General features: G+C 51.7%; 3 protein-coding genes and 1 long non-coding RNA gene across 21 annotated transcripts in view, besides 8 other annotated features; 2 read left to right on the plus strand and 2 right to left on the minus strand.

The window, feature by feature from the left end:
• MRPL2 (mitochondrial ribosomal protein L2) lies at positions 60-5,894 on the minus strand. Of its 4 annotated transcripts, none has more exons than XM_005249161.6 (7): positions 5,814-5,894; positions 4,096-4,264; positions 2,338-2,476; positions 2,112-2,227; positions 1,928-2,038; positions 1,576-1,649; positions 60-517 (listed from the first exon to the last, which is right to left on the minus strand). In XM_005249161.6, the coding sequence occupies exons 2-7, from the start codon at positions 4,262-4,264 to the stop codon at positions 305-307; spliced, it is 822 nt and encodes a 273-aa protein (XP_005249218.1). In that variant the 5' UTR covers positions 5,814-5,894; the 3' UTR covers positions 60-304. The 4 variants fall into 4 exon arrangements, with proteins under 4 accessions (XP_005249218.1, NP_057034.2, XP_047274807.1 ...); NM_015950.5 differs by lacking the exon at positions 5,814-5,894 and adding an exon at positions 5,317-5,465; XM_047418851.1 differs by lacking the exon at positions 5,814-5,894 and adding an exon at positions 5,211-5,465.
• Positions 5,360-5,589: an enhancer, noted in NCBI's record as "active region_24587". NCBI's record gives its function as "activates an Ori minimal core promoter by ATAC-STARR-seq in GM12878 lymphoblastoid cells {active_cell/tissue: GM12878}" and the evidence as "EXISTENCE:reporter gene assay evidence [ECO:0000049][PMID:35858748]".
• On the plus strand, positions 5,662-21,124 carry KLC4 (kinesin light chain 4). 6 transcript variants are annotated; one of them, NM_201522.3, is made up of 17 exons: positions 5,944-6,307; positions 6,549-6,636; positions 7,342-7,624; positions 8,948-9,178; positions 11,651-11,732; positions 12,337-12,556; positions 13,027-13,114; positions 16,385-16,486; positions 16,723-16,896; positions 17,306-17,405; positions 17,598-17,650; positions 17,883-17,953; positions 18,178-18,286; positions 18,855-18,995; positions 19,254-19,369; positions 19,933-19,996; positions 20,653-21,124. In NM_201522.3, exons 3-17 carry the CDS (start codon positions 7,367-7,369, stop codon positions 20,701-20,703), a joined length of 1,860 nt encoding a protein of 619 aa, NP_958930.1. In that variant the 5' UTR covers positions 5,944-6,307; positions 6,549-6,636; positions 7,342-7,366; the 3' UTR covers positions 20,704-21,124. The 6 variants fall into 6 exon arrangements, with proteins under 6 accessions (NP_958929.1, NP_001275964.1, NP_612352.1 ...); NM_201521.3 differs by lacking the exons at positions 5,944-6,307; positions 6,549-6,636 and adding an exon at positions 5,662-5,716; NM_201523.3 differs by lacking the exon at positions 6,549-6,636 and having other exon boundaries at positions 5,944-6,269.
• Positions 5,678-6,629: an enhancer, noted in NCBI's record as "H3K27ac hESC enhancer chr6:43027385-43028336 (GRCh37/hg19 assembly coordinates)". NCBI's record gives its function as "activates a minimal SCP1, AML or CMV promoter by ChIP-STARR-seq in naive and primed H9 embryonic stem cells {active_cell/tissue: H9 hESC(naive and primed)}" and the evidence as "EXISTENCE:reporter gene assay evidence [ECO:0000049][PMID:30033119]".
• Positions 5,700-5,749: an enhancer, noted in NCBI's record as "active region_24588". NCBI's record gives its function as "activates an Ori minimal core promoter by ATAC-STARR-seq in GM12878 lymphoblastoid cells {active_cell/tissue: GM12878}" and the evidence as "EXISTENCE:reporter gene assay evidence [ECO:0000049][PMID:35858748]".
• Positions 16,082-16,376: an enhancer, noted in NCBI's record as "tiled region #10128; HepG2 Activating DNase matched - State 5:Enh". NCBI's record gives its function as "activates a minimal TATA promoter and a strong SV40 promoter by Sharpr-MPRA in HepG2 cells {active_cell/tissue: HepG2}" and the evidence as "EXISTENCE:reporter gene assay evidence [ECO:0000049][PMID:27701403]".
• Positions 16,082-16,376: a silencer, noted in NCBI's record as "tiled region #10128; K562 Repressive DNase unmatched - State 12:CtcfO". NCBI's record gives its function as "represses a minimal TATA promoter and a strong SV40 promoter by Sharpr-MPRA in K562 cells {active_cell/tissue: K562}" and the evidence as "EXISTENCE:reporter gene assay evidence [ECO:0000049][PMID:27701403]".
• Positions 17,213-17,713: an enhancer, noted in NCBI's record as "H3K4me1 hESC enhancer chr6:43038920-43039420 (GRCh37/hg19 assembly coordinates)". NCBI's record gives its function as "activates a minimal SCP1, AML or CMV promoter by ChIP-STARR-seq in naive H9 embryonic stem cells {active_cell/tissue: H9 hESC(naive)}" and the evidence as "EXISTENCE:reporter gene assay evidence [ECO:0000049][PMID:30033119]".
• KLC4-AS1 (KLC4 antisense RNA 1) lies at positions 20,364-22,261 on the minus strand. Its single transcript, XR_002956347.1, has 2 exons — positions 21,726-22,261; positions 20,364-21,298 (listed from the first exon to the last, which is right to left on the minus strand). It is a non-coding gene; the product is annotated as a KLC4 antisense RNA 1 (long non-coding RNA).
• Positions 21,480-22,003: an enhancer, noted in NCBI's record as "H3K4me1 hESC enhancer chr6:43043187-43043710 (GRCh37/hg19 assembly coordinates)". NCBI's record gives its function as "activates a minimal SCP1, AML or CMV promoter by ChIP-STARR-seq in naive H9 embryonic stem cells {active_cell/tissue: H9 hESC(naive)}" and the evidence as "EXISTENCE:reporter gene assay evidence [ECO:0000049][PMID:30033119]".
• Positions 22,333-22,432: a silencer, noted in NCBI's record as "silent region_17218". NCBI's record gives its function as "represses an Ori minimal core promoter by ATAC-STARR-seq in GM12878 lymphoblastoid cells {active_cell/tissue: GM12878}" and the evidence as "EXISTENCE:reporter gene assay evidence [ECO:0000049][PMID:35858748]".
• The window catches only part of PTK7 (protein tyrosine kinase 7 (inactive)), an 85,402-nt gene continuing 81,884 nt past the window's right edge, over positions 22,345-25,862 (plus strand). For 6 of the 10 annotated variants that reach the window (NR_072998.2, NR_072997.2, NM_002821.5 and 3 more), the window contains exon 1: positions 22,345-22,598. Coding sequence is in view for 8 of the 10 variants with exons in the window: in NM_002821.5 (NP_002812.2) it covers positions 22,520-22,598 (79 nt within the window). In the remaining 2 variants the exon portion in view is untranslated. Of the gene's footprint in view, positions 22,599-22,844; positions 23,018-25,862 lie in introns of those variants that run through there. The other 4 variants (NM_001270398.2, XM_011514765.3, XM_011514766.3 and 1 more) reach the window with 1 other exon arrangement.

Consider the following 25,862-nt stretch of genomic DNA (forward strand, 5'->3'; position numbering starts at 1 on the left):
CTTTAGTCCTCCCTCCTGCGGAAGTGCCCTCCCCGTTTCCCAAAGTCAGAACTGGAAAAGACCTTGGACGTCATTTATTTCCATCCCCGGCTCCATTACTTGTAAGGGAATTGGGGTGGGGACAGACCCAGTGTCCTGTACTTTCTCTTCCACACTTTTTACTTCTTTTCCCCACGTTTAGTCTGTACCATCCCCTCCCCCGCAAAAAAAAAACAACAACAAAAAAAACAAAAAACACCCAAAACAAAACCACAGTAACAGATTAAAACGGGGGGGGGGGGCATTTTATTAGAGTACAGGGATATCAGCTTTGGGCAGAAGCAGAAGGCAGCTTCACGTAACTCTTCATGGGGGGTAGTGGCCGAATCTTTCGGCCAGCCCAGCCCCCCTTGCGGTGCCACCGCCCACTGTTAGGCCTCTTGCCCAGCCAGCGGTTGCGACCTGCCTTGCCAATGACCCGTTTGTTATGATCAACGTTGGATACTCGGCCTACTGTTGCTACGCACGTTTCCAGCACCTGACAGAGAAAACAGATGGAGATTCTGTACAATGGGGGGGAAAGAGCTTGACAATGTTGAGAGCACACCCTTGGGGGGCTTCTTAGACTCAAGGAGAGAAGGGCGAGGGAAAAGGAAAAGCATAAGATGGCTGACACTAAGTGAAGGTCCTACAGTAGGAACTAAGTAGTTGAAAACAAAGAGCTCACGCCAGTAATCCCAGCACTTTGGGAGGCCAAGGCTGGAGGATCACTTGAGCTCAGAAGTTCAAGACCAGCCTGGGCAACATAATGAGATCCCATCTCTACAAAAATAAAAAACATTAGCCAGGGTCAGGTGCAGTGGCTGACACCTGTAATTCCAGCACTTTGGGAGCCTAGGCAGGCAGATTGCTTGAGCTCAGGAGTTCAAGACCAGCCTGGCCAACGTGGTGATACCCTGTCTCTACAAAAAATACGAAAATTAGCCTGGTGGAGTGGTGTGCGCCTGTAGTCCCAGCTACTTGGGGGGCTGAGGCAGAATTGCTTGAACCCAGGAGTTTGAGGCTGCAGTGAGCTGATTGTGCCACTGCACTCAAGCAATAGAGTGAAACCCTGTCTCAAAAAAAATTAAGTAGGGCCGGGTGTGGTGGCTCACTCCTGTAATCTCAGCACTTTGGGAGGCCAAGGTGGGCGGATTATGAGGTAAGGAGTTTGAGACCAGCCTGGCCAACATGGTGAAACCCCATCTCTACTAAAACACAAAAATTAGCTGGCTGTGGTGGTGCGTGCCTGCAATCCCAGCTACTCGGGAGGCTGAGGCAGAATTGCTAGAACCTGGGAGGTGGAGGTCACAGTGAGCCCAGATCGTGCCATTGCACTCCAGCCTGGGCGACAGAGCAAGACTCTGTCTCGAAAAAAAAAAAATTAATTATGGTGCCAATCCGACAAAGCACACCTGAGTCATGTGGCAGAAAAGGACAGCCTCAGCTCAAGGCAGTTCCTTGCATCATAAAACACCTGGGAGCTATCCCAGACAGGAAAGTTACATTCCAAAAATTCCTCCTTTGCTGACCCCTCCCATCCATACCCATACACACCTGCATCTGCCTCTTAGAGGGCAGCTGGATAATGGCTGTGCCATTCACCTTCCGCAGTAGCACACCACACGTCCCTGGGGAAAGAAGCTGATTTGCCACCCTCCACAAAACAGGGGGGTGCAGAGGGACTTACACAGGGGACATACCCCACATGCTGCCCTTGCTTTGCTCTTTAGGAGCAGATACACAAAGAAGGACGCATGCTATGTTTTAGGTAAAAACACATGCATATCTTCATCCTCATGTTTGTTTTTTCCTTAATTTTCTCTGCCAGTACCAGATGTGGAACCATGGGTTCAGACTCTCCTTGCCTTTCCAAACTATAGGACCCAGGCAACTCCTTTCCCCATACCTGCAGCTCGGATATATTGGGCACCCCGGCCTGGCTCACTTTCCACGTTGTTGATGAGGGTCCCCACAGGCAGAGCCCCAAGAGGATGCGCATCCCCTTCCCGAGCAGCAACTAAAAGACAGGATTTCATTAGCTCTAGAACTTTTGCTGCCTCCAGCCCACACATCTGGTAGCCATCTCTCACCTGCCATTCGGCCTATGTGGTTAGAGTTCAAGATTGTATCTCCAGCCTGCATGTTTTCTGTGGCGATGATCCAGCGTTTCCGGCTGCCCCCAGCAACCAGAGCTATGTCTGCTGACCTAATCAGGGTGAGGGACAGGTAAGCAGACCGTCTAGGCAGCCCCACATCTTCTGAGAAGCTATGGAGTTATTCAGACCATTCCATCATCATCCCACATCCCAAACTTGCCTACAGGGATCATAGCGGACTTGGATAACCTTCTCCTCAAAGGGTCCTGACTTGGTCTCCTCAGGCCGGAAACGCAGAAAGTCAATCATTCGATAACGTTGCTTGTGGCCCCCGCCAATACCATGCACCCGGATTCGGCCTGTGGTTTAGGACAGTTGGGGGATATGATTCAGGTCAGAGTAGTTTAGTTTCCAGCACTGGGAACTGGCCCATTCTCTGCCAGAGAGCAGTGCTTAGCATTGTGGCACAAGCAGAAATGATAAAAATTTGCACAGCACACTGGAGTAAGGAGGGGCAACACCAACATGAAGCTTGGTGAAAAAAACATTATATGATTATTGAAATTGTATAAAACTTCCAGATAAAATATTTTCTTTTTTTCTTCTGAGACAGAGTCTCACTCTGTTGCCCAGGCTGGAGCGCAGTGGTGCGATCTCGGCTCACTGCAAGCTCCGCCTCCCGGGTTCACGCCATTCTCCTGCCTCAGTCTCCCGAGTAGCTGGGACTACAGGTGCCCACCACCACGCCCAGCTAAGTTTTTGTATTTTTAGTAGAGACGGGTTTCACTGTGTTAGCCAGGATGGTTTCAATCTCTTGACCTTGTGATCCGCCCACCTTGGCCTCCCAAAGTGCTGGGATTACAGGCGTGAGCCACTGCGCCCAGCCAAAATATTTTCAAATTACTGAAATCAGTAAGTTTACTGAGAGCCATGTAAATCATACTTAAATAATTTCAACTGTTATAAATTTTTTGCATGTGTGTGATGGGGTCTCACTCTGTTGCCCAGGCTGGATCCTGACCTAAAGTTATCCTCCCGCCTTGGCCTTCCAAAGTGTTGGGATTATAGGCAGGAGCCACCACACCCGGCCGGTTATAAATATATATACTTTTTGAGATGAGTCTCGCTCTGTCACCTGGGCTGGAATACAATGGTGCGATCTCGGCTCACTGCAACCTCCACCTCCTGGGTTCAAGCGATTCTCCTGCCTCAGCCTCCTGAGTAGCTGGGATTACAGGTGCCCACCACCACACCTGGTTAATTTTTTTTTTGAGACAGTCTTGCTCTGTTGCCCAGGCTGGAGTGCAGCAGCGCGATCTCGGCCCACTGCAGCCTCTACCCTCCACCTCCCGGGCTCAAGTGATTCTCATGCCTCAGCCTCCCAAGTAGCCGGGATTACAGGACTGCACCATTACACCTGGCTAATTTTTATATTTTTATAGAGATGGGGTTTCACCATGTTGGCCAGGCTGGTCTTGAATTCCTGGCCTCAAGTGATCTGCCTGCCTTGGCCTCTCAAAGTGTTGGGATTACAGGCGTGAGCCACTGCGCCTGACCAATTTTTAAAGTTTTAGTAGAGATGAGGTTTTGCCATGTTGGCCAGCCTGGTCTTAAACTTGTGACGTCAGGTGATCTGCCCGCCTCGGCCTCCCAAAATGCTGGGATTACAGTCGTGAGCCACCTTACCCAGCCTGTTATAAATTTTTGAAGGGTATGAAGGAAAATGTCATGGCACTTCCTGTGTATGGCCCATTTTCTTCAATTACCCAAATTGTCTTTAGAAGCATAGACCAATTACCTATTGCTTTGTATTCTACTCTCTGACTCCTGTACACATACTACATGCAAAAGGAGCCAAATAAGTGCTTTTTAATTACATTCCTCTGCCTTACAAGGTACAAGTGTGTCAATATACAAGTCTAGGGTCTTAACATGTTTTTCCTTTTGACTGCTTAAATCCCCCTGTCCTTGTTCCCACCTGTGTGGTCTCGGCCCCCAGACTTCCTCATCTTCACTGGTGTAATGGTGTACTTGGTACGACTCTTCCAGGACACAAAGTTGGCATTAAGGGCCACAGAAGTAAGAACTGGGCGGCAGGGGAGCAACATCAAGGCAGAGGGCTGTTGGAGGAGGCCATTGTTCATCATCTAGGGATAAAAAGACATCTCTTTCATTTGAAAGCTAATTGAAGGCAAAGCATCAGAGAACCAAGGCAGAGGGCACAGATCAATTTTAGCTTGTAGCCCACTTCCTCCTGGATGTATCCCAAACCAGCTATCCAAAAACTCCACCCTTCACAGCTTGCACAGTAATGTTCTCTCCTTGGTGATCTCCTTCCAAATTTGGCTCAGAACTCTCCATCTCCAGGAATCTGTTTTTACCTAAACAATTCCCTTCTCCAGAGCTGGTAGCTTCCACACATCCATGTACCACCATCAGTGCCAATTCCTTTTGCCCTCTGCATTGTTTCTGGGAATTCTTCACATATGAATGGAGGGGAGGGGTCATTTCACTCTTGTTCCTTGATGTATTCCCAGCATTTCGGAGTAGGTTGATTTGGATTTGAATTTTAAACATGCATCTCCCAAACTGTACCATAAGCAGCCTGAAAGCTCCAGAGGAGCAGGACTTACTTCTCTTTTGTGTGACTCACCAGTCACCCACTAGGACCTCAGGATACCTTCCCCTGAGGCCACTGTTCTTGGTATCTTGCCCTGCATTCTCTAATATCAGCAGTAACTCATCCTTGCAGGCATCATATCATAATGGTTAAGAGCACAGGCTCTGAAAGACAGACTGTTTAGCTCTGATAGTTGGTGTGTGACCTTGGACTCCTTATTTTCCTCATCTATAAAATGGGAATAGTAACTGCCTTATAGAGTATTTGAAAGGAGTTCATTTATTTGAAACGTCTATTACCTATACCTGGCTTATCATAGGCACTCGAAACGTTATTACTGAAACCTGCACAACCGGTGATCTGCAAAGCACTTTCACCTTAAGTATCTCGTCTGAAGAATTTCGCCCTATGAGAAAGCAACACTTGTAGAGGAAAAAGCTGAGGCTAAGTGTGCCTTATCCAAGGTCACGGACCTGCATGACTCCTGACCAGACTCGCAACTCCCGCCTCGCATGCCCGCAGACCCCATCTCCGGCAGCCCGAATGGAAGCAGCCTTCTTCCCGGGTAAGATGGATTACCTGGGCGGCGGGGAACAGACTCGGGGCAGGGGCGGCGACGGTCGGGGGCGCCAGGTTCAGAGAGCGCAGAGCGCGGGTCAGTGCGCACAGGGCCATCAGCACGACACCCTTACTTTTAGCCAAGCTGCTCGGTGCTCCTAGATGACGTTGACTGTCCGGCGCCGTCGCTCCGCAATAACGTAAAAGGAGGCGGGCAGAAAACTGGAGCCCAAGCTGGATACACACCTCCTTTCCTACCTGAACGCCGTGAGAGCCAATCCGCGGGCAGCTCTAATGTCGCGTGACTAGGAAACAGGCCCCGCCCCCCCAGACCCGTCAAAACAATTGCCTCGAGCGGCAGCCATCATGGATTTAAAGGGGCAGTACCGGCAAGAGCGGCAGCCACACCGGCAGATTGCAGGTGAGTCTTTGAGGGTATCCTGGGGCTGAAGGTTAAGGTCTCTGCCATCTCTTATTCTCGCACTACCAGAAAGATGAACAAACCCCCTCCAACCAACCTTACAAAACTCCAGCCTCCAAAACTCCGCCCTTCGCGATTCTTCCCCGCCCCTCGGCGTCCAGACAGATAGACAGACGACCTGCCCCGCCCCCTGCGCCACCGACTGACTCAGTGACCTCGGGGTCGTTAGGCCTCCACGTCCTCGCTGGAGCTGCGGACCTCAGTCGTCCATCCACACCTCCCCCCTGCCGCCCCCGCCCATCTCACTCTCCCAACCCTGGGCACCAGGGCAGGTCGACAGCCCGAGGCACTCCTCTACTGCGTTTCCAGGCCCAGGAGACCCACTCCAGCGCCGCGGTTCCTTGCGACCCGGCAGCCGTTCAGCAGACCTCCCATTCTTTCCTGCATCATCGGGCATTGTGGAGGCACCCTACGGTGATTCCTCTCAGAGCCTGTTTGTAGGTGACCGTGACAGAGACAAAACCATGGAAGTGACTGGGTTTGGAGTGACCAGGTGTTCCTCCCTCCCCTTTCCCAGACACGCCTCTTGCTGTAGGTCTCTGGTTAAGTCTCTCTCTCTCATTCCCTTCCTGGGAGACAGTAGCTCCCTAGGCCTGCAATGAGGGAGGCTGGCTTGGGGAAGGAGACGGGAATTGGGCGTCTTTGAAGACCTGTGGGCAGAGGGAGGGAGGGAGGGTGTTTGTCCTGGGTGGGGCTCTGGGCCAGGTCCTCTGGGTAGCTGTGAAGTGGTGAAAGAAGGGGTGGGAACGCTGGACTTCTGGACTTTGGGCAGGGCAGATCCTCTGACTCTCTGGCTGCAGAACAGTTTCTTCCGTGCTCTGGCCTGAGTGCCACAGCCAGGGCCTCTGCTCTGTACACAGGTAAGAAGGCTTCAAAGATGAGAAACAAGACCCCTCTGAGGAAGTGGGAACACAGTCTGAGTCCTGGGGGGTGGGAAGTATGGGTTGAAGGTTAGTGGGAAAATATGCAGGGCTGACCAGGTTTGGAGATGCTGGGCTTAGTTCTGCAGGTGATGCAGCCTGAAGACCTTGAGCTTTCTGGGACCCTGTAATGTGGATCCTGCAAGGAAGGCTCTTGTTTTCTTCTTTTCCCTTTCTTCCCTGATTTAACTTTGCAGAGATTCCTTCCGTTTTTTCTAGACCCCTGCATTATTTTCTGCATATCTCCCACTTTAACCCTGTGCCATTTGCAGCTCTCCCACAGACCTTCTGTGATCCCCATAGTGCTGTCTCTCATCCCTTGATTCCTTTTCCTAACTCAGGCTGTAACTGCTTTTTTGTTCTTTTCCTAAGTCCTAAATCCTTCTGCTAGTTCTAAGCACCTTTGTTCCTACTATAGTCTTCCTTTATTTAAGTCAGTTCATCTCCCTCTCGCTTTGCCCACAACCTTAGCTTTGAGTTTAGTGATCTAAGCTCCCTGCCTGCTGGTCACTCTCTCTCTCCAGCTAAGCCACAGGGTCACTCTTACTTTTGTCCCTTCACTTGGATTCCCACCACTCTCTGAGAAAGTTGCTCAGCTTCTCTGTCTCATCTTTACACCAGCTGAACTCTGTTGTTTCTCCCTAGACCGGGCAAGGTCCCCCAGGCCAGGATGTCAGGCCTGGTGTTGGGGCAGCGGGATGAGCCTGCAGGCCACCGGCTCAGCCAAGAGGAGATCCTGGGGAGCACACGGCTGGTCAGCCAAGGGCTAGAGGCCCTACGCAGTGAACACCAGGCCGTGCTGCAAAGCCTGTCCCAGACCATTGAGTGTCTGCAGCAGGGAGGCCATGAGGAAGGGCTGGTGCATGAGAAGGCCCGGCAGCTTCGCCGTTCTATGGAAAACATTGAGCTCGGGCTGAGTGAGGCCCAGGTGAGAGGGCAAAGGTGGTGCCAAGTGGTCCAGGGTGGATGGAGGAGCAGTTATCTGATTAAAGGTTTGGGGCTGCTTGGGATCACCTCACTCTAGACGTTTGCATTCATTCATTAAATATGTATTAAGTCCCTACTGTGTGCCAGAATGCTTTTGGGCACTGAAGAGATACATCATTGAACAAAACTGTAAAAATCTTTGCCATCTTGGAGGTTACCTTCTAGCTTGGGAAGACAGACAATACATAAATAAATAATGATTCGGTATGCCAGAGTGATAGTTGCTAAGCATAAAAGGATCAAAATAAAGCAGGGAAGGAAACTAGGGACTGTGGGGAGAGGGTATAATTTTAGATAGGGTGGTCAGAAAAGGCCACCCTTTTTTGAAAAGGTGACATTTTTGGCAAAGACGTGAAGTTGAGGGGAATGAGTCATGCCATAAACAGGGGAAGGGCATCCTAAGCACAGAGAGCAGCAAGTGCAGAGGCTCTGAATGGAAGTCTGCCTGGTGAGGTCAGTGAACAGCAAGGGGCCAGTATGGCTGCAGTAGAGTGAATGAGGAGAAGCAAGGTAGAAAATTAAGTCTGAGGGGTAATGGGGTTGGAGGGGAGGGAGATGGATCAAGTGGAACTTGTAGGCCACCCCGAGGACTTTGATTTTGCCCTTTCTTTGAGACGGAGTCTCGCAGTGTTGCCCAGGCTGGATGTAGTGGCACAATCCTGGCTCTCTGCAACCTCTGCCTGCCAGGTTCAAGCGATTCTCCTGCCTCAGCCTCCCGAGTAGCTGGGACTACAGGCGCATGCCACCACGCCCGGCTAATTTTTTGTATTTTTAGTAGAGATGGGGTTTCACCATGTTGGCCAGGCTGGTCTTGAATTCCCGACCTCTTGATCCACCCGCCTTGGCCTCCCAAAGTGCTGGGATTATAGGCGTGAGCCACTGTGCCTGGCCCTGATTTTACTTTGAGCGAGATGGAAACTATTGGAATGTTTTTAGAAGAGGAGTGATGTGGTCTAACTTGGCATCATCAGGTTGTTGGGTTACAAATAGACAATAGGGGAACAAGGGCAGAAACGAGGCCAGTGAGGAAGTTATTGTAATAATTTGGGTAGGAATTGATAGTGGCTTGGTCCAGGGTGACAGCAGTGGAGGTAGTGGGAAATTGGATTCAGGGTATGTTTTGAAGGTAGCACCACTGCTACACCCCCACCTTCTGGCTCCTCTGTGCCCCTGCCAGTCTTGCCACGTCCCAGTAGGCTCCCCTTCCACCTGTTCCTGAATACTCCCACCCAGAATCTGGAGCTCAGGGGATGTGCCCACCTAGGTGATGCTGGCTCTAGCCAGCCACCTGAGCACAGTGGAGTCGGAGAAACAGAAGCTGCGGGCTCAGGTGCGGCGGCTATGCCAGGAGAACCAGTGGCTGCGGGATGAGCTGGCTGGCACCCAGCAGCGGCTACAGCGCAGTGAACAGGCTGTGGCTCAGCTGGAGGAGGAAAAGAAGCACCTGGAGTTCCTGGGGCAGCTGCGGCAGTATGATGAGGATGGACATACCTCGGTGAGTGTGCACAGGCGAGACTGGCTGAGGGGTGGGCAGCCGGGAGTTACCACAGACATGGGGGCAATTGCCCCATCATCCTCAGGGTCCATCAGCTCTACCCAACCTGCTCTCACCTGAAAGAATTCCTTTTTCAGCCCTGACACCAACTCCAGGTGACAGCAAGGGGAAAAACAATATTCAGGTAATTCAGTCAACATTTAATGAGATGCCTACTGTGTACCAGGCATTGTGCACTGCACTGGTGAATGGGGCACACAGAGTTCCTGCTCTCACAATTACAAGCTTGTGAGGGAGATAGATAAGCACCTGGACAATTCCAATCCAGAATTCTACGTGGTACAATTAGGGAAAGCATAACCCAGTTGAGCATGACCCTCCTAAAATTTGCTTTCAAAATGTGTGAATTTTTTTTTTTTTTTTGAGACGGAGTTTCACACTTGTTGCCTAGGCTGGAGTGCAATGGTGCAATCTCAGGTCACAGCAACCTCCGCCTCCCGGGTTCAAGCAATTCTCCTGCCTCAGCCTCTTGAGTAGCTAGGATTGCAGGCACCTGCCACCACGCCTGGCTAATTTTTGTATTTTTACTAGAGACGGGGTTTCACCATGTTGGCCAGGCTGGTTTTGAACTCCTGACCTCAGGTGGTCTGCCCGCCTGGGCCTCCCAAAGTGCTGGGATTACAGGTGTGAGCTACCATGCCCGGTCCAAAATGTGTGAAATTTAACCCTCGCTCAACAGAATGCAGTGATGCCATCTCAGCTCACTGCAGCCTCCGCCTCTGGCTTTCAAACAATTCTTGGGCCTCAGCCACCCAAGTAGCTGGGATTACAGGTGTCTGCCACCACACCCGGCTAATGTTTGTATTTTTAGTAGAGATGGAGCTTTGCCATGTTGACCAGGCTGGTCTCAAACTCCTAGCCTCAAGTGATCTGCCTGCCCTCGGCCTCCCAAAATGCTGGGATTACAGGCGTGAGCCACCACGCCTGGCTGAGAGTGTGTGTTTTCTTGAGATGTATCTGTAGGGAACAAGTCTTATCCAGGAGAACATATATGTGACAAAATACAAAGCAGCAAGTGCTCAGTGCTGGATGAGTGGTTCAGTCAGTGTGGGAAGAATTTCACAGAGAAATGTCTCTGAGGGCTGGAATGGTCTAAGAAGAATTCATAGAGGAAGCAGGGAGCCTGGGCAACATAGTGAGACCCTGTCTCCACAAAAAATTAAAAAATTAGCCTGATGTGGTCGTGTGCACCTATAGCCTCAGCTACTCTGGAGGCTGAGGTGGGAGGATCGCTTGAGCCCAGGAGGTGGAAGCTGCAGTGAGCTGTGATTATGCCACTGCATTCTAGCCTGGGCTGTTGCCAGACTAGAGACTCTGTCTCAAAAAACAAACAAAAAAATAGAGGAAGCAGGATACAGGGATGGGTAGGATATAGGTTGGATTTCCCATTTGAGTGGGTTAGGAGTTGAGATGGATTTTGAAAGTTCATGATGAGGAAGAGGGAGCAGCTTTTTAGACTGGAGTGCAGGGTGTCATTGATAAGGCTTACAGCCTGGAAAAGCTGGTCTGTCCCAGGGAAAGTGAGTAGATGAATTGCATAGGACACATTGGTGAAGCTGGGTAGGAGGGTTGGTGTTTGGATGAGGCTGCAGTTCCTGATGGGGAAAAGCAGATTTTCCTAGTGCGGAATAGGTTAGACAGTGAGGGAGGGTTACGTAGTAAGTCCAGAATGAGCTGTGCAGATGATGGGCACCAGGCTGAGCTAGACACTTTCTGGGTACATGTCAATAAGATCGGCCACACTCCCTTCCCTCAGGAGAGACAGGACAGACATACAATCAACGTAAACACACAGAGATCAGCATAGGGCCATAATTACAAGAGTTAAGGCAAGATTGAGGGTGGTTAGAAAGGAAACTTTTTTTTTTCTTTTTTTTTTGTTTTGAGACAGAGTTTCGCTCTTGTTGCCCAGGCTGGAGTGCAATGGCATGATCTCGGCTCACCGCAACCTCTGCCTCCCAGGTTCAAGCGATTCTCCTGCCTCAGCCTCATGAGTAGCTGGGATTATAGGCATGCGCCACCACGCCCGGCTAATTTTGTATTTCTAGTAGAGATGGGGTTTCTCCACGTTGGTCAGGATGGTCTTGAACTCCTGACCTCAGGTGATCTGCCCACCTCGGCCTCCCAAAGTGCTGGGATTACAGGCGTTAGCCACCACACCCGGCCAGGAAGGAAACTTTCTGTATGAGAAGGAGGGGAAGTCTTGAGATTTTGTCCAAAGCATCTCTGGCTGTTACAAACAAGAGGCCTGAGCTTGGCTGGGCCACTTGCTAGCCTTTCCAGGGGCAGAGACAGGAACAACAGTCTTCTCCTAGGTCCCATCTGTCTGTGATTTCATGGCTTAGAGGGGTCACTGAGAAGGCTACTAGGTAGGGATATCTTGGCCCTTATATGTTGCTTCTTCCCTTCCAGGAGGAGAAAGAAGGCGATGCCACCAAGGATTCCCTGGATGACCTCTTTCCTAATGAGGAGGAAGAGGACCCCAGCAATGGCTGTGAGTCTGCCTCTGGAATGGGAGGGTGAAAAGGGGCAGCAGGAGGCTGGCCCTAGCTGTGGCCCACCCTGTACACAGGACAGTCACCATCTAGAAATAGGTTCTCCACTTTCTCTGGAGACAGGGCAGGGGCTGGGCTAGTACTTCGATTTCCTCAGCCTCCCCATTGAACGAACATGTATTAAGCACTGAATATGTGCCAGGTACTGTGCTAGGCACTAGGAGTACTGAGATGGAAATGGCATAGGTCTTACCAGTAAGGAGTTCACAGTCTAGTGGGAGAATAAACCTGAGACAGGGAGACCATGAGCCCCCCAAGGGAAAGAACCAGGTCTTTCTTACCTTTGTACTCCTGGAACATCCCTTGGTTCATACTTATTAAATAAATGTTTGTTGAATGCATGAATTACTGGGTGAACAACTGAGGTTGTGATGGGCATAGGTCAAGGGAGTGGATAAAAGAATAGCACTTGAGGCAGGTCTAATATTGAGAGTCCAGGTTGGGGTGGGCACAAGTATGGAACAAGACATGCAATGGGGAGTGGAAGGGCAGACAGCAAAGGGGAGAGGAAGAGTCCTTTGTTTATGTTCTGTGATGGTTTAGTGTCCCGTGGTCAAGGTGCTACAGCAGCTCAGCAGGGTGGATATGAGATCCCAGCAAGGTTGCGGACGTTGCACAACCTGGTGATCCAGTACGCAGCCCAAGGTCGCTATGAGGTGGCCGTGCCACTCTGTAAGCAGGCACTAGAGGACCTGGAGCGCACATCAGGCCGTGGCCACCCTGATGTCGCCACCATGCTCAACATCCTTGCTTTGGTGTATCGGTGAGGACTTCCCTCCTCCAGTGCCCAGATCTTCCCCCACATTCCCACCTTGGTCCTCCTTTGGCTTTCATTTTTCCTCTTTACAGGGTACCTCTCCTCCCTGTTGGGCCTCCCAGATACACCCCAACAGGGTGCTTCTTTATGTGCCAGAACTCTCACTTTTCCCATACCTAAGCATTTGCTCATCCCTTGGGATCCTTGTTCCTCTAATCTCTCTTCTGGGGAGTGCTCTCTCCCTCTCTTCCCCCTGCCCCCTTGCTTCTTATAACTTGTGGCCTCCTCTTGGGATGGCAGTGCCCTGCATTCTGGTATGAGTATGTCAGTGAAGCCCCCTTACTGTCCACGCCAGGCTTCCTGTCTCCTCATGGAGGTCTCCAATCCTTAAATGTACTCAGTCCTTCCAAAGGGAAGGAGGGAAGGAGAAGGCTTGCGGGTTCAGGGTAACTCCTGTCACTTTTGTCTTCTTCCAGTGACCAGAATAAGTATAAGGAAGCTGCCCACCTGCTGAATGATGCCCTTAGCATCCGGGAGAGCACCTTGGGACCTGACCATCCTGCTGTCAGTATTCCTTGCCCTCCCCACCCCACGCCCCGCACCCCCCACCATTGCTGTTTTGGCCTCTCTTAGCTCATCCATCTGCTGCCCTCAGTCCACTCACTAAGGGTGCTGAGGAAGGAGGCATAAGAAGTCCTTTCTTCCAGGCACTGTCCAGTGATCCTAATGATTCTCAATTCTCTGAGACTCAGTGACTCCTTTTTATAACAAATATTTTGCTTGAATTTAATTAATAGATAAGTCATAGGTAAATCCACATATGATTTCTACAAAACTTAATATGCTACTCTAATAAATATAAAAGAAAAACAAGAAAAGTAATTTGTAAGGACAATATATACAATGTAATATAATAAGGTAAAAATACAAAACAACAGTAGTTGTATTGAGTACAACTTTGTTAAAAGAAATAGCAAAGTGGCCTGGGCACAGTGGCTCACGAGTGTAATCCCAGCACTAATCCCAGCACTTTGGGAGGCTGAGGAGGGTGGATCACGAGGTCAGGAGATCGAGACCATCCTGGCTAACATGGTGAAACCCCATCTCTACTAAAAAAAATACAAAAAATGCCGGGCGTGGTGGCGGGCGCCTGTAGTCCTAGCTACTCGGGAGGCTAAGGCAGGAGAATGGCGTGAACCCGGGAGGCGGAGCTTGCAGTGAGCTGAGATCGTGCCATTGCACTCCAGCCAGGGTGACAGAGCGAGACTCCGTCTCAAAAAAAAAAAAAAAAAATGAAAATATAGGTGGACAGGCCGGGCGCGGTGGCTCACGCCTGTAATCCCAGCACTTTGGGAGGCCGAGGCGGGCGGATCACGAGGTCAGGAGATCGAGACCATCCTGGCTAAAACGGTGAAACCCCGTCTCTACTAAAAATACAAAAAATTAGCCGGGCGTAGTGGCGGGCGCCTGTAGTCCCAGCTGCTTGGGAGGCTGAGGCAGGAGAATGGCGTGAACCCGGGAGGCGGAGCTTGCAGTGAGCCGAGATCCCGCCACTGCACTCCAGCCTGGGCGACAGAGCGAGACTCCGTCTCAAAAAAAAAAAAAAAAAAAAAAAAAAAAGAAAATATAGGTGGACACTTTATTAAAGTACAGTATTATAAGAAATCACAAGGGTCGGGCACAGTGGCTCATGCCTGTAATCCCAGCACTTTGGGAGGCCAAGGTGGGCAAATCACGAGGTCAGGAGTTCAAGACCATCCTGGCCAACATGGTGAAACCCCGTCTCTACTAAAAATACAAAAATTAGCCGGGCGTGGTGGGGGGCACTTGTAATCCCAGCTACTCAGGAGGCTGAGGCAGGAGAATCACTCGAAACCAGAAGGTGGAGGTTGCAGTGAGGTGAGATCGCGCCTCTACACTCCAGCCTGGGCAGCAAGAGCAAAACTCTGTCTCAAAAAAAAAGAAAATAAATGACAGACCAGATTTATTTGTGTATAAGAGGAAGAGACTGGGCTTGGTGGCTCACGCCTGTAATCCCACCACTTTGGGAGGCCAAGGCAGGTCGATCACCTGAGGTCAGGAGTTTGAGACCATCCTGGCCAACATGGTAAAACCCCGTCTCTACTAAAAAAAAAATATAAAATTAGCCAGGCATGGTGGCATATGCCTGTAATCCCAACTATTTGGAGACTGAGGCAGGAGAATCATTTGAATCCGGGGGTTGGTGGTTGCAGCGAGCCGAGATCGCACCACTGCACTCCAGCCTGGGCAACAGAGCAAGACTCTGTCTCAACAAAATAAGAAGCGGCCCAGCGCTGTGGCTCACTCCTGTAATTTCAGCACTTTGGGAGGCCGAGGTGGTCGGATCACCTGAGGTCAGGAGTTTGAGACCAGCCTGACCAACAAGGTGAAACCCTGTCTCTACTAATAATACAAAAATTAGCCAGTTGTGGTGGCATGCACCTGTAGTCCCAGGTACTCGGGAGGCTGAGACAGGAGAATTGCTTGAACCCAGGAGGCTGAGGTTGCAGTGAGCCAAGATCGCACCATTGCACTTCAACCTGGGTGATGGGGTGAGACTTCATCTTAAAATAAATAAATAAATAAATAAATATAAATAAAAGGAAAGAGAGAAACAACCTTAAGTAGAGATATCACGCCAAGGCAAATGATAGAGTTGTCAATGTACAGAAAATGAAAAATGAAAAGTTTGTTTGTTTTGTTTTGTTTTGTTTTGTTTTTTGAGATGGAGTTTCGCAGTGTCACCCAGCCTATAGTGCAGTGGTACAATCTGGGTTCACTGTAATCTCTGCCTCCCAGGCTCAAGTGATCCTCCTGCCTCAGCCTCCCAAGTAGCTGGGATTACAGGTACGTGCTACCACGCCAGGCTAATTTTTGTATTTTTAGTAGAGATGGGTTTTCACCATGTTGGTCAGGCTGGTCTTGAACTCCTGACCTCAAGTGATCCACCTACCTCAGCCTTCCAAACTGCTGGGATTACAGGTGTGAGCCACCACACCCAGCTGAAAAGTTATTTATTTTTTGTTGAGATAGAGTTTCACTCTTGTTGCCAGGCTAGAGTGCAACATGGCACGATCTTGGCTCACTACAACCTCCACCTCCCGGGTTCAAGCAATTCTCCTGCCTCAGCCTCCCGAGTAGCTGGGATTACAGACATGCCACTACGCCTGGCTAATTTTGTACTTTTAGTAGAGACGGGGTTTCTCCATGTTGGTCAGGCTGGTCTCGAACTCCTGACCTCAGGTGATCCGCCCACCTCGGCCTCCCAAAGTGCTGGGATTACAGGCGTGAGCCACTGCGTCCAGCCAAAAAGCTATTTTTGAATGTGATCTGTGTGAAAATAATTCCCTATGGTATGACATATGATAGGCAGGGATGATGTATCTCAGAAATCATACTCCTGTCTTGATATCCCATCAAATATCAATGTTTACATTTAGCGTTTGGATGTCTGGCAGGACATTAAAAAATTGGCAGAGCTGTCCCACACATGCAGAACATCTATAGCGTTCTTGCCTCCTCAAAGGTAATCTTCATGGTGACAACAACAACAACAAAAAAAAAAAAAAAAGAAAGAAAAAAAACACCTCCAGAAATTTCTTAAAATCCCCTAGAGGGCGATACTGTCCCTTAGCCTCAGAGCCATCCTGTTCAGCAATTTCCCCTCCCTTCAGCCCCTGGCTCCAGGGTAGTAGACTTTGTCTCTTAGAGTTGTGCAGTGAGTGTTGGGCCCTGCTGGGAGGTGGGGAACCTCAGATTCCCATAGGTCTTTTGCAACCCAAATGTCTGATGGGGACAGGCCTGTCTTCATAGGTGGCTGCCACACTCAACAATTTGGCTGTGCTCTATGGCAAAAGGGGCAAGTACAAGGAGGCAGAGCCTCTGTGCCAGCGGGCACTGGAGATTCGAGAAAAGGTACCCATGCCCTCTCTCCCTTCTTCTCTTGTCGCTGTGACCCTTCTCTACATGGCTCCTCTGGTCTAACCCTCCTCCTTCACTTTTTTTTTCTCACCCCCATCTCTGCTTTGTTCTCTCTTCCTTCATTCCCTTTCCTCTGCTTTCCACATGTGTGTGCCTACATGCAAACACACGTGTGCTTGTGCACACACATGTTATCATAGCCATTTATCCACTCCTTTGTTCCCTTTCAGGTCCTGGGCACGAATCATCCAGATGTGGCAAAACAGCTGAACAACCTGGCCCTCTTGTGCCAAAACCAGGGCAAGTATGAGGCCGTGGAACGCTACTACCAGCGAGCACTGGCCATCTACGAGGGGCAGCTGGGGCCGGACAACCCTAATGTAGCCCGGACCAAGAACAACCTGGTATGGGAGGAGGGACAAAGTAGGTGGAAGAAACGGAGAGGGGGGCACAGAGGTGGGGGGAGGGGGGGCAGGCGGAGAGGCCACTTGGGTCCTAGAGTCAGGAAGCATCACAGTCTGGCACACTGCTCTCATCAACTTTGTGCTCATGTCTGGGGCTGCCTTTGCGGATGAAGGATCTGCTTCATTCCAGTTATAGAAGTTCCACAGCTTCTTGGGAGTGGGCTGGGAATACCCTTGACCCTACACCTGGAGAAGGAGGTGTGAGAAAGATCTCTGGGGAAAGTGAGAGAGACACTGAGAAGTGGAACTCCCTGAGCCTGGTGAAGACCTTGTCTAAAAAAAAAAAAAAAAAAAAGACCTTGCCTCCCTCCATGTTTTGTTCCTGTATTTTTGCCTTTCTGTCCTCCAGGCTTCCTGTTACCTGAAACAGGGCAAATATGCTGAGGCTGAGACACTATACAAAGAGATCCTGACCCGTGCCCATGTACAGGAGTTTGGGTCTGTGGATGGTGAGTGGTGAGGGCCTGGGGAAGGGGCTGTGGGGAAGAAAAGAAATTCAGACCAAAGGTCGGGGGTTAGGCCACAGCGGTTCCCAGGGGGAGCCAGACCCCTTCAGTCCAGCCTGTCAGCCTCTGGGTCCTGGCTCTCCGACACTGTCTAGCTCCCATCTCTAACCTCCCCACCCCATGTATCACCCCTAGATGACCACAAGCCCATCTGGATGCATGCAGAGGAGCGGGAGGAAATGAGCAAAGTGAGTGGGGGGAAGGGGGGCCAGCCTGGGGAGCTCAAGGCTACCGGGGTCTCTGTCTTACTCCTTGCATTAGCCCAACTCTCACTTCCCATCCCAGCACCAGCCCCAGATGCATGGTGTCCTCCCCAGCCCAGCCTGCACCCTAGCCCCATGCCACCTTGCATCTCAGCATCTCTGTATTCTTATATTTGGCTCTCCCTGCCCTTCTTTCTGGCCTCTCTCTGTCCTGCAGAGCCGGCACCATGAGGGTGGGACACCCTATGCTGAGTATGGAGGCTGGTACAAGGCCTGCAAAGTGAGCAGGTGAGCTGACAGTGAAAAGCCAGCTTGGCCTCCGATGCCCTCCATCCAGTCCCTGCTCCCAGCCTCCCAGACCTTTTCCCTTCCTCCCGTAGACTTTCCCTCAGCTTTAGCTCTGTTCCCTCTCCTATTTTCTTATTTTTTTTCCTCTTGTCTTGCTTGGAAGACAAATGTTTTGTTTTCTGAACTCATTCTCTCTTCCTTCTCTGGTCTCTTTCTCACCACAGCCCCACAGTGAACACTACTCTGAGAAACCTGGGAGCTCTGTATAGGCGCCAGGGAAAGCTGGAGGCTGCTGAGACCCTGGAGGAATGTGCCCTGCGGTCCCGGAGACAGGTCAGAAGCCCAGAGGGGAAGGAGGTCCTAGAGGGAAGGGCCCTGGGGATGAGAGAGTGCCGAGGTTTCTTGGGAGTCTCCTAAGAATAAGCGGAAAGGCTGATGAAGCCAGGAGGGAGAGGAAAGTGAGGCAGTGTTGTGATTGTGGTTGTTTTTAAGCATGTTCTTACCCCCCACCTGCATTTTGTGGTCAGGACTCTAGTTTCAAGATTCACTAAATGGGGATATGAAGGAGAAACCCTGCCCTTTCATAAGGAGGGGACCTGGGTGGTATGGGTGAGAGGAGTGAGGTTGGGGAGAGCCTAAATCAAGAATTTCTTAGATTGTGGGTCTCAATAGTAGGTTGTGAAATCAATTCAGTATGGGCCATGGGGATAAAAATATATACAGATCTATATATAGCAATGCATTGCAAATAGAAAAGGTAAGTATTATTCCAGTAGGTATAAACTGAGACATCACAAGGAAAAATGTTTTCCTTCCAGTGGCTGATGGTGAAAAAAATTTGAAAGCCCCATCCTGAGGAGTTAAGGAGTAGGAAGTCCCAGGTCCTTCCTTTTCCTTCCAGGGCACTGACCCTATCAGCCAGACGAAGGTGGCAGAGCTGCTTGGGGAGAGTGATGGTAGAAGGACCTCCCAGGAGGGCCCTGGAGACAGTGTGAAATTCGAGGGAGGTGAAGATGCTTCTGTGGCTGTGGAGTGGTCCGGGGTAAGTCTGATCATTGCCTTTTCATCTCTCCTGCCCACTCCTGCTGGTGGTGGTGAGAGGCTCTTGGCCATGCTGTCCCAGTCTAGGTAGTGTATTCCTTCAGGGGTATCTCTGGGAGCCAGTTTTTGACAGGACTTTTATTTCCAGTCACTGGGCCTTGGGGGTGGGGGATGTGTGCAGAATAAATGCTAGGAGTAGACTCAGAAACCCATCTGTGTGGGATCCTTGTAGCTTTCATTGCTCACTCCTTTCTGCCAGGATGGCAGTGGGACCCTGCAGAGGAGTGGCTCTCTTGGCAAGATCCGGGATGTGCTCCGCAGAAGCAGTGAACTCTTGGTGAGGAAGCTCCAGGGGACTGAGCCTCGGCCCTCCAGGTATACATGGAAGTCAAGATACAGTAAAGTGGCCGGGTGCAGTGGCTCACGCCTGTAATCCCAGCACTTTGGGAGGCCGAGGCGGGTGGATCACCTGAGGTCAGGAGTTTGAGACCAGCCTGGCCAACAAGGTGAAACTCTCTCCTAAAAATACAAAAATTAGTCGGGTGTGGTGGCAGGTGCCTGTAATCTCAGCTACTTGGGAGGCTGAGGCAGGAGAATTGCTGGAACCCAGGAGGCAGAGGTTGCAGGGAGCCAAGATCATGCCATTGCACTCCAGCCCAGGCGACAACAGCGAGACTCCGTCTCAAAAAAAAAAAGAAAAAAAAAAAAGATATGGTAAAGCAGGCAAGTAAAGTAAGCCCTTGCCTCCAACTCCTCTTGGCTCCTGATCTCTGGAGAAGTATCTCGGAGAGAAACAGGGAGGAAGTCAACGGGCCAGCCATGGAGAGAGAGTTTGGGTAGAATGGGTGCCCCAGTGTGGCAGTGCTCAAGAGGCCCACAGCCTTAAGGCCACTCAGGAGGAAGAGAGGAGGCCTCAATTCTTCCGTTTTCCATTGTAGCAGCAACATGAAGCGAGCAGCCTCCTTGAACTATCTGAACCAACCTAGTGCAGCACCCCTCCAGGTGAGAGCAGTGCTTGTGAGCATATTGGTGGGTGAGGAAAAAAGGACAGCCAGTGAGCAAGCCCAGTGGAGTAAGGGAAGAGGGAAGGGAGAGGAGTCATCTGGGATGAAGATGAGCCAGGGGATTGCAGTCATTAAGGAATCAGGCAGATAGCTTGTGGTGAGTGCTGACCACCAAGGGACAGTTTCAGGCCAGACATAGTAGCAAATAAGTTAATAAGGAGGGAAATAGGAATATTCTGTAAACTGGTACTTTGGAATTATGAATAATTTAAGAATTATTTGGAGATACGAATTATTTTTTCATCCTGCAGCCGCCTTAGTAGTAGATGAGAATGGAAAAAGAAAAGTATTAAATAATCCCCATCTGAGAAAACACTAGTGATATTTTAATGGCAAATGACTTCTTGTATCAACACACAAGTATATGCCAGTATTCATGTGGTTCTTCCAGGTAGCTTCTCCACCAGATTGTGGCCTTCTGGAAAACCCTAGCAGAGGCTAAACAAAGTCCCAGGTCCAGAGATAGACTGGTCCAGAGACAGATGTGATCCTAGGTCCAGAGATACACTGTGACCATGGGATGGATGGACTCTAGGAGCCAGTCTTTGGGAGGCCGAGGTCCCTGAGCTGATGGGGTAGTGTTGTCTGTTTCAGGTCTCCCGGGGCCTCAGTGCCAGCACCATGGACCTCTCTTCAAGCAGCTGACATTCAACCCGGCCCCCAGGTCTGCTGGGTCCCCCCACCCCCACAGCCCTCACAGCATTCCCCATTGCTCCTGGCTCTTCCCCACCCCTAGGTGGGACAGTGAAGGGGAGCAGTTTAACCAGAAGATTGCTGCTGCCCTTAGGGTCTCAGCTCCCTCCTCAGGAATCCCTCTTAGGAAGGACCCTCAGGACACCCTCTCTGCACCCTGTGGTCCTCTAGAGTAGCTAGCTCTGAGGCCCCAAGGTGGGTACAAAGCAGGTATGGCCCTCAGAGATGCAGCCTGCTGCTGGCTTTTCAGTCAGAGGGTTGGGGGCTGGCCAGCCAAGCTGCCTTGCCCTGGCCGCTCTTACTCCCTCCCTCTGCTGTCTCACTTCAGGTCCATGTATTTCACTTTTCTTAAATAAAAGAATCAGGTAACCTTTCTGTGACTTGAGTCCTGATTGAAGAGGGTATGAAGCAGGGCTTGTGTTGGGGCCCTTCACAGAAGGTGAGGGGCAGTGATGGATGGAGCAGCAGGAGGAGTGTTGATTCTTGGATCTCTCCTCTCTTCCTCCCGTTGTTTGTATCATCTCCAGCAGGGCCTGTAGGAAGGCATCTGGGGGATGGGGAAGAAGGAGGCTCACAACCCAAGGAGAAGGTGCTGTGGACTGGGTTGTCAGGGACATGTGGTGGCCATGTGGCAGGACCCTGGAGTCCTGGCGCCACTTCTCCTGGCTGTGAGGCCCTCTGTGGCTGCCATTCCTCCTCCCAGCTGCTTGGGGGAAGGGAGGTCTAAACAGGCCTGGGGGGCCCTCCGGAACCAGAGGGGAGACAAGGCACTATCCATCCCCTCTCAGCATATCTTGGAGGCCTGAGCAGCAGCTGGGGCCCATCTTCTAAAGCTTGACTCCTCCTGACCCGCCTCCTACACCCCTTGCTGCTTTCACAACAAAGAAAGAATGTGGGGGTGGTGGCGCTGGGGGTGGGGGTGCCTGGAACAAGGGTTGTGCTGGGCCTCCCCACAGCTGGAGACTTGGCCATACCCTGACACAGCCCAGACTGCCTGGAGATGGACTTGGGATGAATTTGTCAGTTAGCAGACTTCAGCCTGGCTTTCAGAGCCCAGCGTGTTTCTACCTTTGGGTTCAGATTGGTCTACAGCCAAACCAGACCCCAGTCATGCACACTTCAGCCCCTCTCCGGGCTACACAGCATCTTCAGGTTACTTGGGGACATTAAGGACACCCTGCTGTTCTGGGTCTGCCGTTAAGATTTTGGGTTGCTGAAGAGTTGGCGGGGCCCGCCTCTTCCCCTGCCCCCACCTGGAGAATTCTGGGGGAACTGTTGGCCAGAGCCTCCAGGTATGCCCAGAATGGACCATTCTCCCCAGGGTCCACGGAATCGCACAAGTCACTTAGGTTCTCCCGGATCCCTGCAGAGTCGGTGGTGGGTACAGCAAATACTCAGGTCCCCTGCACTTCCCTGAGCCTTGCTCTCTCTATTCTCCATCCCTCTCCAGACCCCTCCCCCTACTGAGCTCCTCCCCGCCTCGGCGAGGAGGGGGCGTCGAGGGGGCGGGGCGCCGTGCGGGGGCCGGAGGGGAGGGGGCGTCGTGGGGCGGGGCTTGGCGGCGGCGGCGGCGGCGCGCGGGGACTCGGAGGTACTGGGCGCGCGCGGCTCCGGCTCGGGACGCCTCGGGACGCCTCGGGGTCGGGCTCCGGCTGCGGCTGCTGCTGCGGCGCCCGCGCTCCGGTGCGCTCCGCCTCCTGTGCCCGCCGCGGAGCGCAGTCTGCGCGCCCGCCGTGCGCCCTCAGCTCCTTTTCCTGAGCCCGCCGCGATGGGAGCTGCGCGGGGATCCCCGGCCAGACCCCGCCGGTTGCCTCTGCTCAGCGTCCTGCTGCTGCCGCTGCTGGGCGGTGAGTACCCGAGAGTTGGGGGCACAGAGCTTGGGAAGCGCGGGAGTCCCGTGGGCAAAAGGCTGCGCCCGGGGCGGTGGGTTTGGGCGGCTGGAACGGCCCTGGAGTAGTGGAGAGGCTCGCTGGGGGTGCAGGCTTGCGGCGGAAGGGCGCAAGGAGCCCGGGTGTCGGGAGGCTGGCGAAGCCTCCAGGGACGCGGTCAGGGTACCCCTCCCACTCGCGCCGCGGGGACGCATTTCCAGCCTCCCTGAGTTTTTCTGGTCTGAGCCGAGAGTTTGCTCGAGAACTGCCGAGAGTTGCTGGCTCTCGGGCCCAGATGGGGAGTTTCTTGTCGGGGGAGAAAAGACCATCCGCACCCACCGTGGGGAGCGCGATGGAGAAAAAGGAATTCCCCACCCCACCCGGCAGGGTCGGCCCAGGTAAGAGTTGCTGGTTTGGGGCCCGATGCCGGACAGACCTGCGGCGCGCAAAGCGCGGAGCTTTGTTACCTACGCCGACCCGACGTTCCCGGCTTCCCTCCTCCGAGTTCCTGGGCAAAGCTGAGACCCCAGATGGCCCTGCGGGTGAGGGCGGAAGAAGGGAAGAGTTAGGGGCCGCCCCCATCCATGGCCTCTAGCTACTGGTCTGGAACCCTGCGCCCACTCCGTGCCAGGGCCGAATCCGGGGATCCGAGGGTCCCAGGCTGTCGCGGTGACTAATGTGTGAAGGCCGCTGCCAAAATCGGGCATGGCCTGGCTGCAAAGGTGCGGACGGGGTTTGTTCTGCTCCTTCCTGGATTTCCATCCTGACTGTCCTCACAGAGGAAAGGAAGTATTTCTAAGGGAAGAAAGGCAAAAAGAGCTCATTCTGGCTTTTCTTGGGGGGGGGCCTTAGCATTTTAACGAGGGTGTGGCCCTCATCACCAGGGCAGACAGCACCGCCCCCCCAACTCCCGCAGCTTTTATTTCCTGGCTTGGTCACACCTAAGAGTCATCACTGAGGTGTTGAAGTGCCTTACAGGAAAGCACCAAGCCACCCGCACATCCCAAATAGCCCGGACTGGAAATAAAGCCCCCGACCCTCCACAACACTCCTTGGTGGTCCTCGAAGCAGCTTTCTCTTGGGGAGCTCTGTCGAGGAGACCTGTCCTAGGTGATCACCTTCCATCTCCTTTGAAGGTGGCAATGGGAAGGGCATGGGTAAGGAATTGCCTTTCTAATATCTTTCTGGCCTGCCAGCTGTGGAGGGGTTTTGGTGCTGGTGGAATCAACATCTCCCCTGCCCCCAGTTGTAAAAGGAGAGGTAAATGTAACCCAGGAAAGAGACCAATCTCCAGGGATTTGGAGGAGGTGTTTCTGGAGTTGCCCCGTTTTTCTTGTGATGTGTGTGGTGGTTATTGCTCGTGGCAGAATCCACATCTGCTCCCAGAGGAAGTATGGAAGTTTTTTTGCACAGCCAGGATGGGGGCCCAGCCATCTGGGCGAGCAGCCCAAGCTCACAGGCCCCCTGGCTGTCCTGGTTGGGTTTTGGTGTGTGGGTCTGCCCAATGAGGCTGCCTTCACTGCTGCTGTTCAGGGTACTAGAGTCAAGGGGAGTTTCTGGTGAAGATGGGGCTCTTGCTCAACAAATGCTGAATTCCTAAATTCCTTCCATGAGAAGATGACTCTGATGTTAATTGACTTAATCTGGTGACTGGTTGGTGTTTAGTGTGTGTGCGCGCGTGTGTGTGGGGGATCCTGTTGGGGGAAGTTAGGGCAGGCTGAGGGCTTAGGACAGGAGGTCTGTAGTCTCCTCAGGGGTGGGGGGATGTCTTGTGCTCAACAAAGGAACATTTTAATGAGAGCCTTAAATCAATTCCACCAAATGTGCCTTGTTGTGGAACCTGTCCATGTGCTGTAAACAATTTCAGTGGAGGCCGAGGCGCCTGCTGTCTTCTAGTGAAATCCTGGGACTCAACCCACCCCCAGACGCATGACTTCAGGGGCAACGGTTTTTTAATAGATCACAGTAGATGTTTGCATCTCATTGTTTAATTGTGTAATTAACTGGAGTTGTAGTGAGATCCCACTGTTAATAAGGCTGGAGTAAGGAACCTAGGCTGGCTAGGTTTGTGGATTAGACCATTTTAAAGTCTGGGTAATTATGCCATAAATGGCAGAGTTACTTTCCAAACTTTGAGATGCTGTTGTAATAAATATGGTGGAGGAGGAGGAGGCTTGATGTTTGAAACTATGGATTCTTAACCCCAACCTCTTGTACAGTCAGCTGTGGTCACTTCTCATTCCAATTCCCATCCCCCTCCCTGGTTTCTTTCCTCCGGGCTCTTGTTTCTTTGGGGAAATTGAGTCGTCATGTTCTGGGATAGGCTGTCTGCAGATTCCTCAAGGCTCTGCAGCCTGTAATTCAGGCCTAGGAGTTGCTTTTATTAGTGATGGCTTTTCTCAGCTGTTGGGAAGTATGGTGGCAGGGCAAGGGTGCTCTTCTTGTCACTTGTCAAATGATATACTCAAACTCCTGGTGTTCAGAGCAGCATTGAGTGGTGGACAGAGCTCAAGCAATGGAGATAAAGTATGGTCCTTCCTTGGCATCTGCAGGGAATTGGAATAGGACTCCCTGAGAATAACAAAATCCAAGGGTGCGGCCAGGCCTGGTGGCTCACGCCTGTAATCCCAGCACTTTGGGAGGCCGAGGCGGGCGGATCATGAGGTCAGGAGATTGAGACCATCCTGGCTAACACGGTGAAACCCTGTCTCTACTAAAAATACAAAAAATTAGCCAGGCGTGGTGGCGGGTGCCCGTAGTCCCAGCTACTCGGGAGGCTGAGACAGGAGAATGGCCTGAACCCGGGAGGTGGAGCTTGCAGTGATCGTGCCACTGCACTCCAGCTTGGGCGAGATCGTGCCGAGATCGTGCCACTGCACTCCAGCTTGGGTGACAGAGCGAGACTCCGTCTCAAAAAAAAAAAAAAATCCAAGGGTGCTCAAGTCTCTTATATAAAATGGTGTCGTATTTACATATAACGTACACACAACTTCCCTGTATACTTTTGTTTTGTTTTGTTATGAGACAGGGTCTCCTCTATCACCCAGGCTAGAGTGCAGTGGCACAATCTTGGCTCACTGAAGCCTCAAATTCCTGGGCTCAAGCAGTCTTCCTGCCTCAGTGCTCTAAAGTATGAGGATTACAGGCATGATCCACTATGCCCAGCTTCTCCTGTATACTTTAAATCATCTCTAAGGGCCAGGTTTACGCCTGTTATCCCACCACTTTGGGAGGCAGAGGGAG

This window comes from Homo sapiens, chromosome 6, assembly GCF_000001405.40.
Source record: "Homo sapiens chromosome 6, GRCh38.p14 Primary Assembly".
Taxonomy (NCBI): domain Eukaryota; kingdom Metazoa; phylum Chordata; class Mammalia; order Primates; family Hominidae; genus Homo; species Homo sapiens.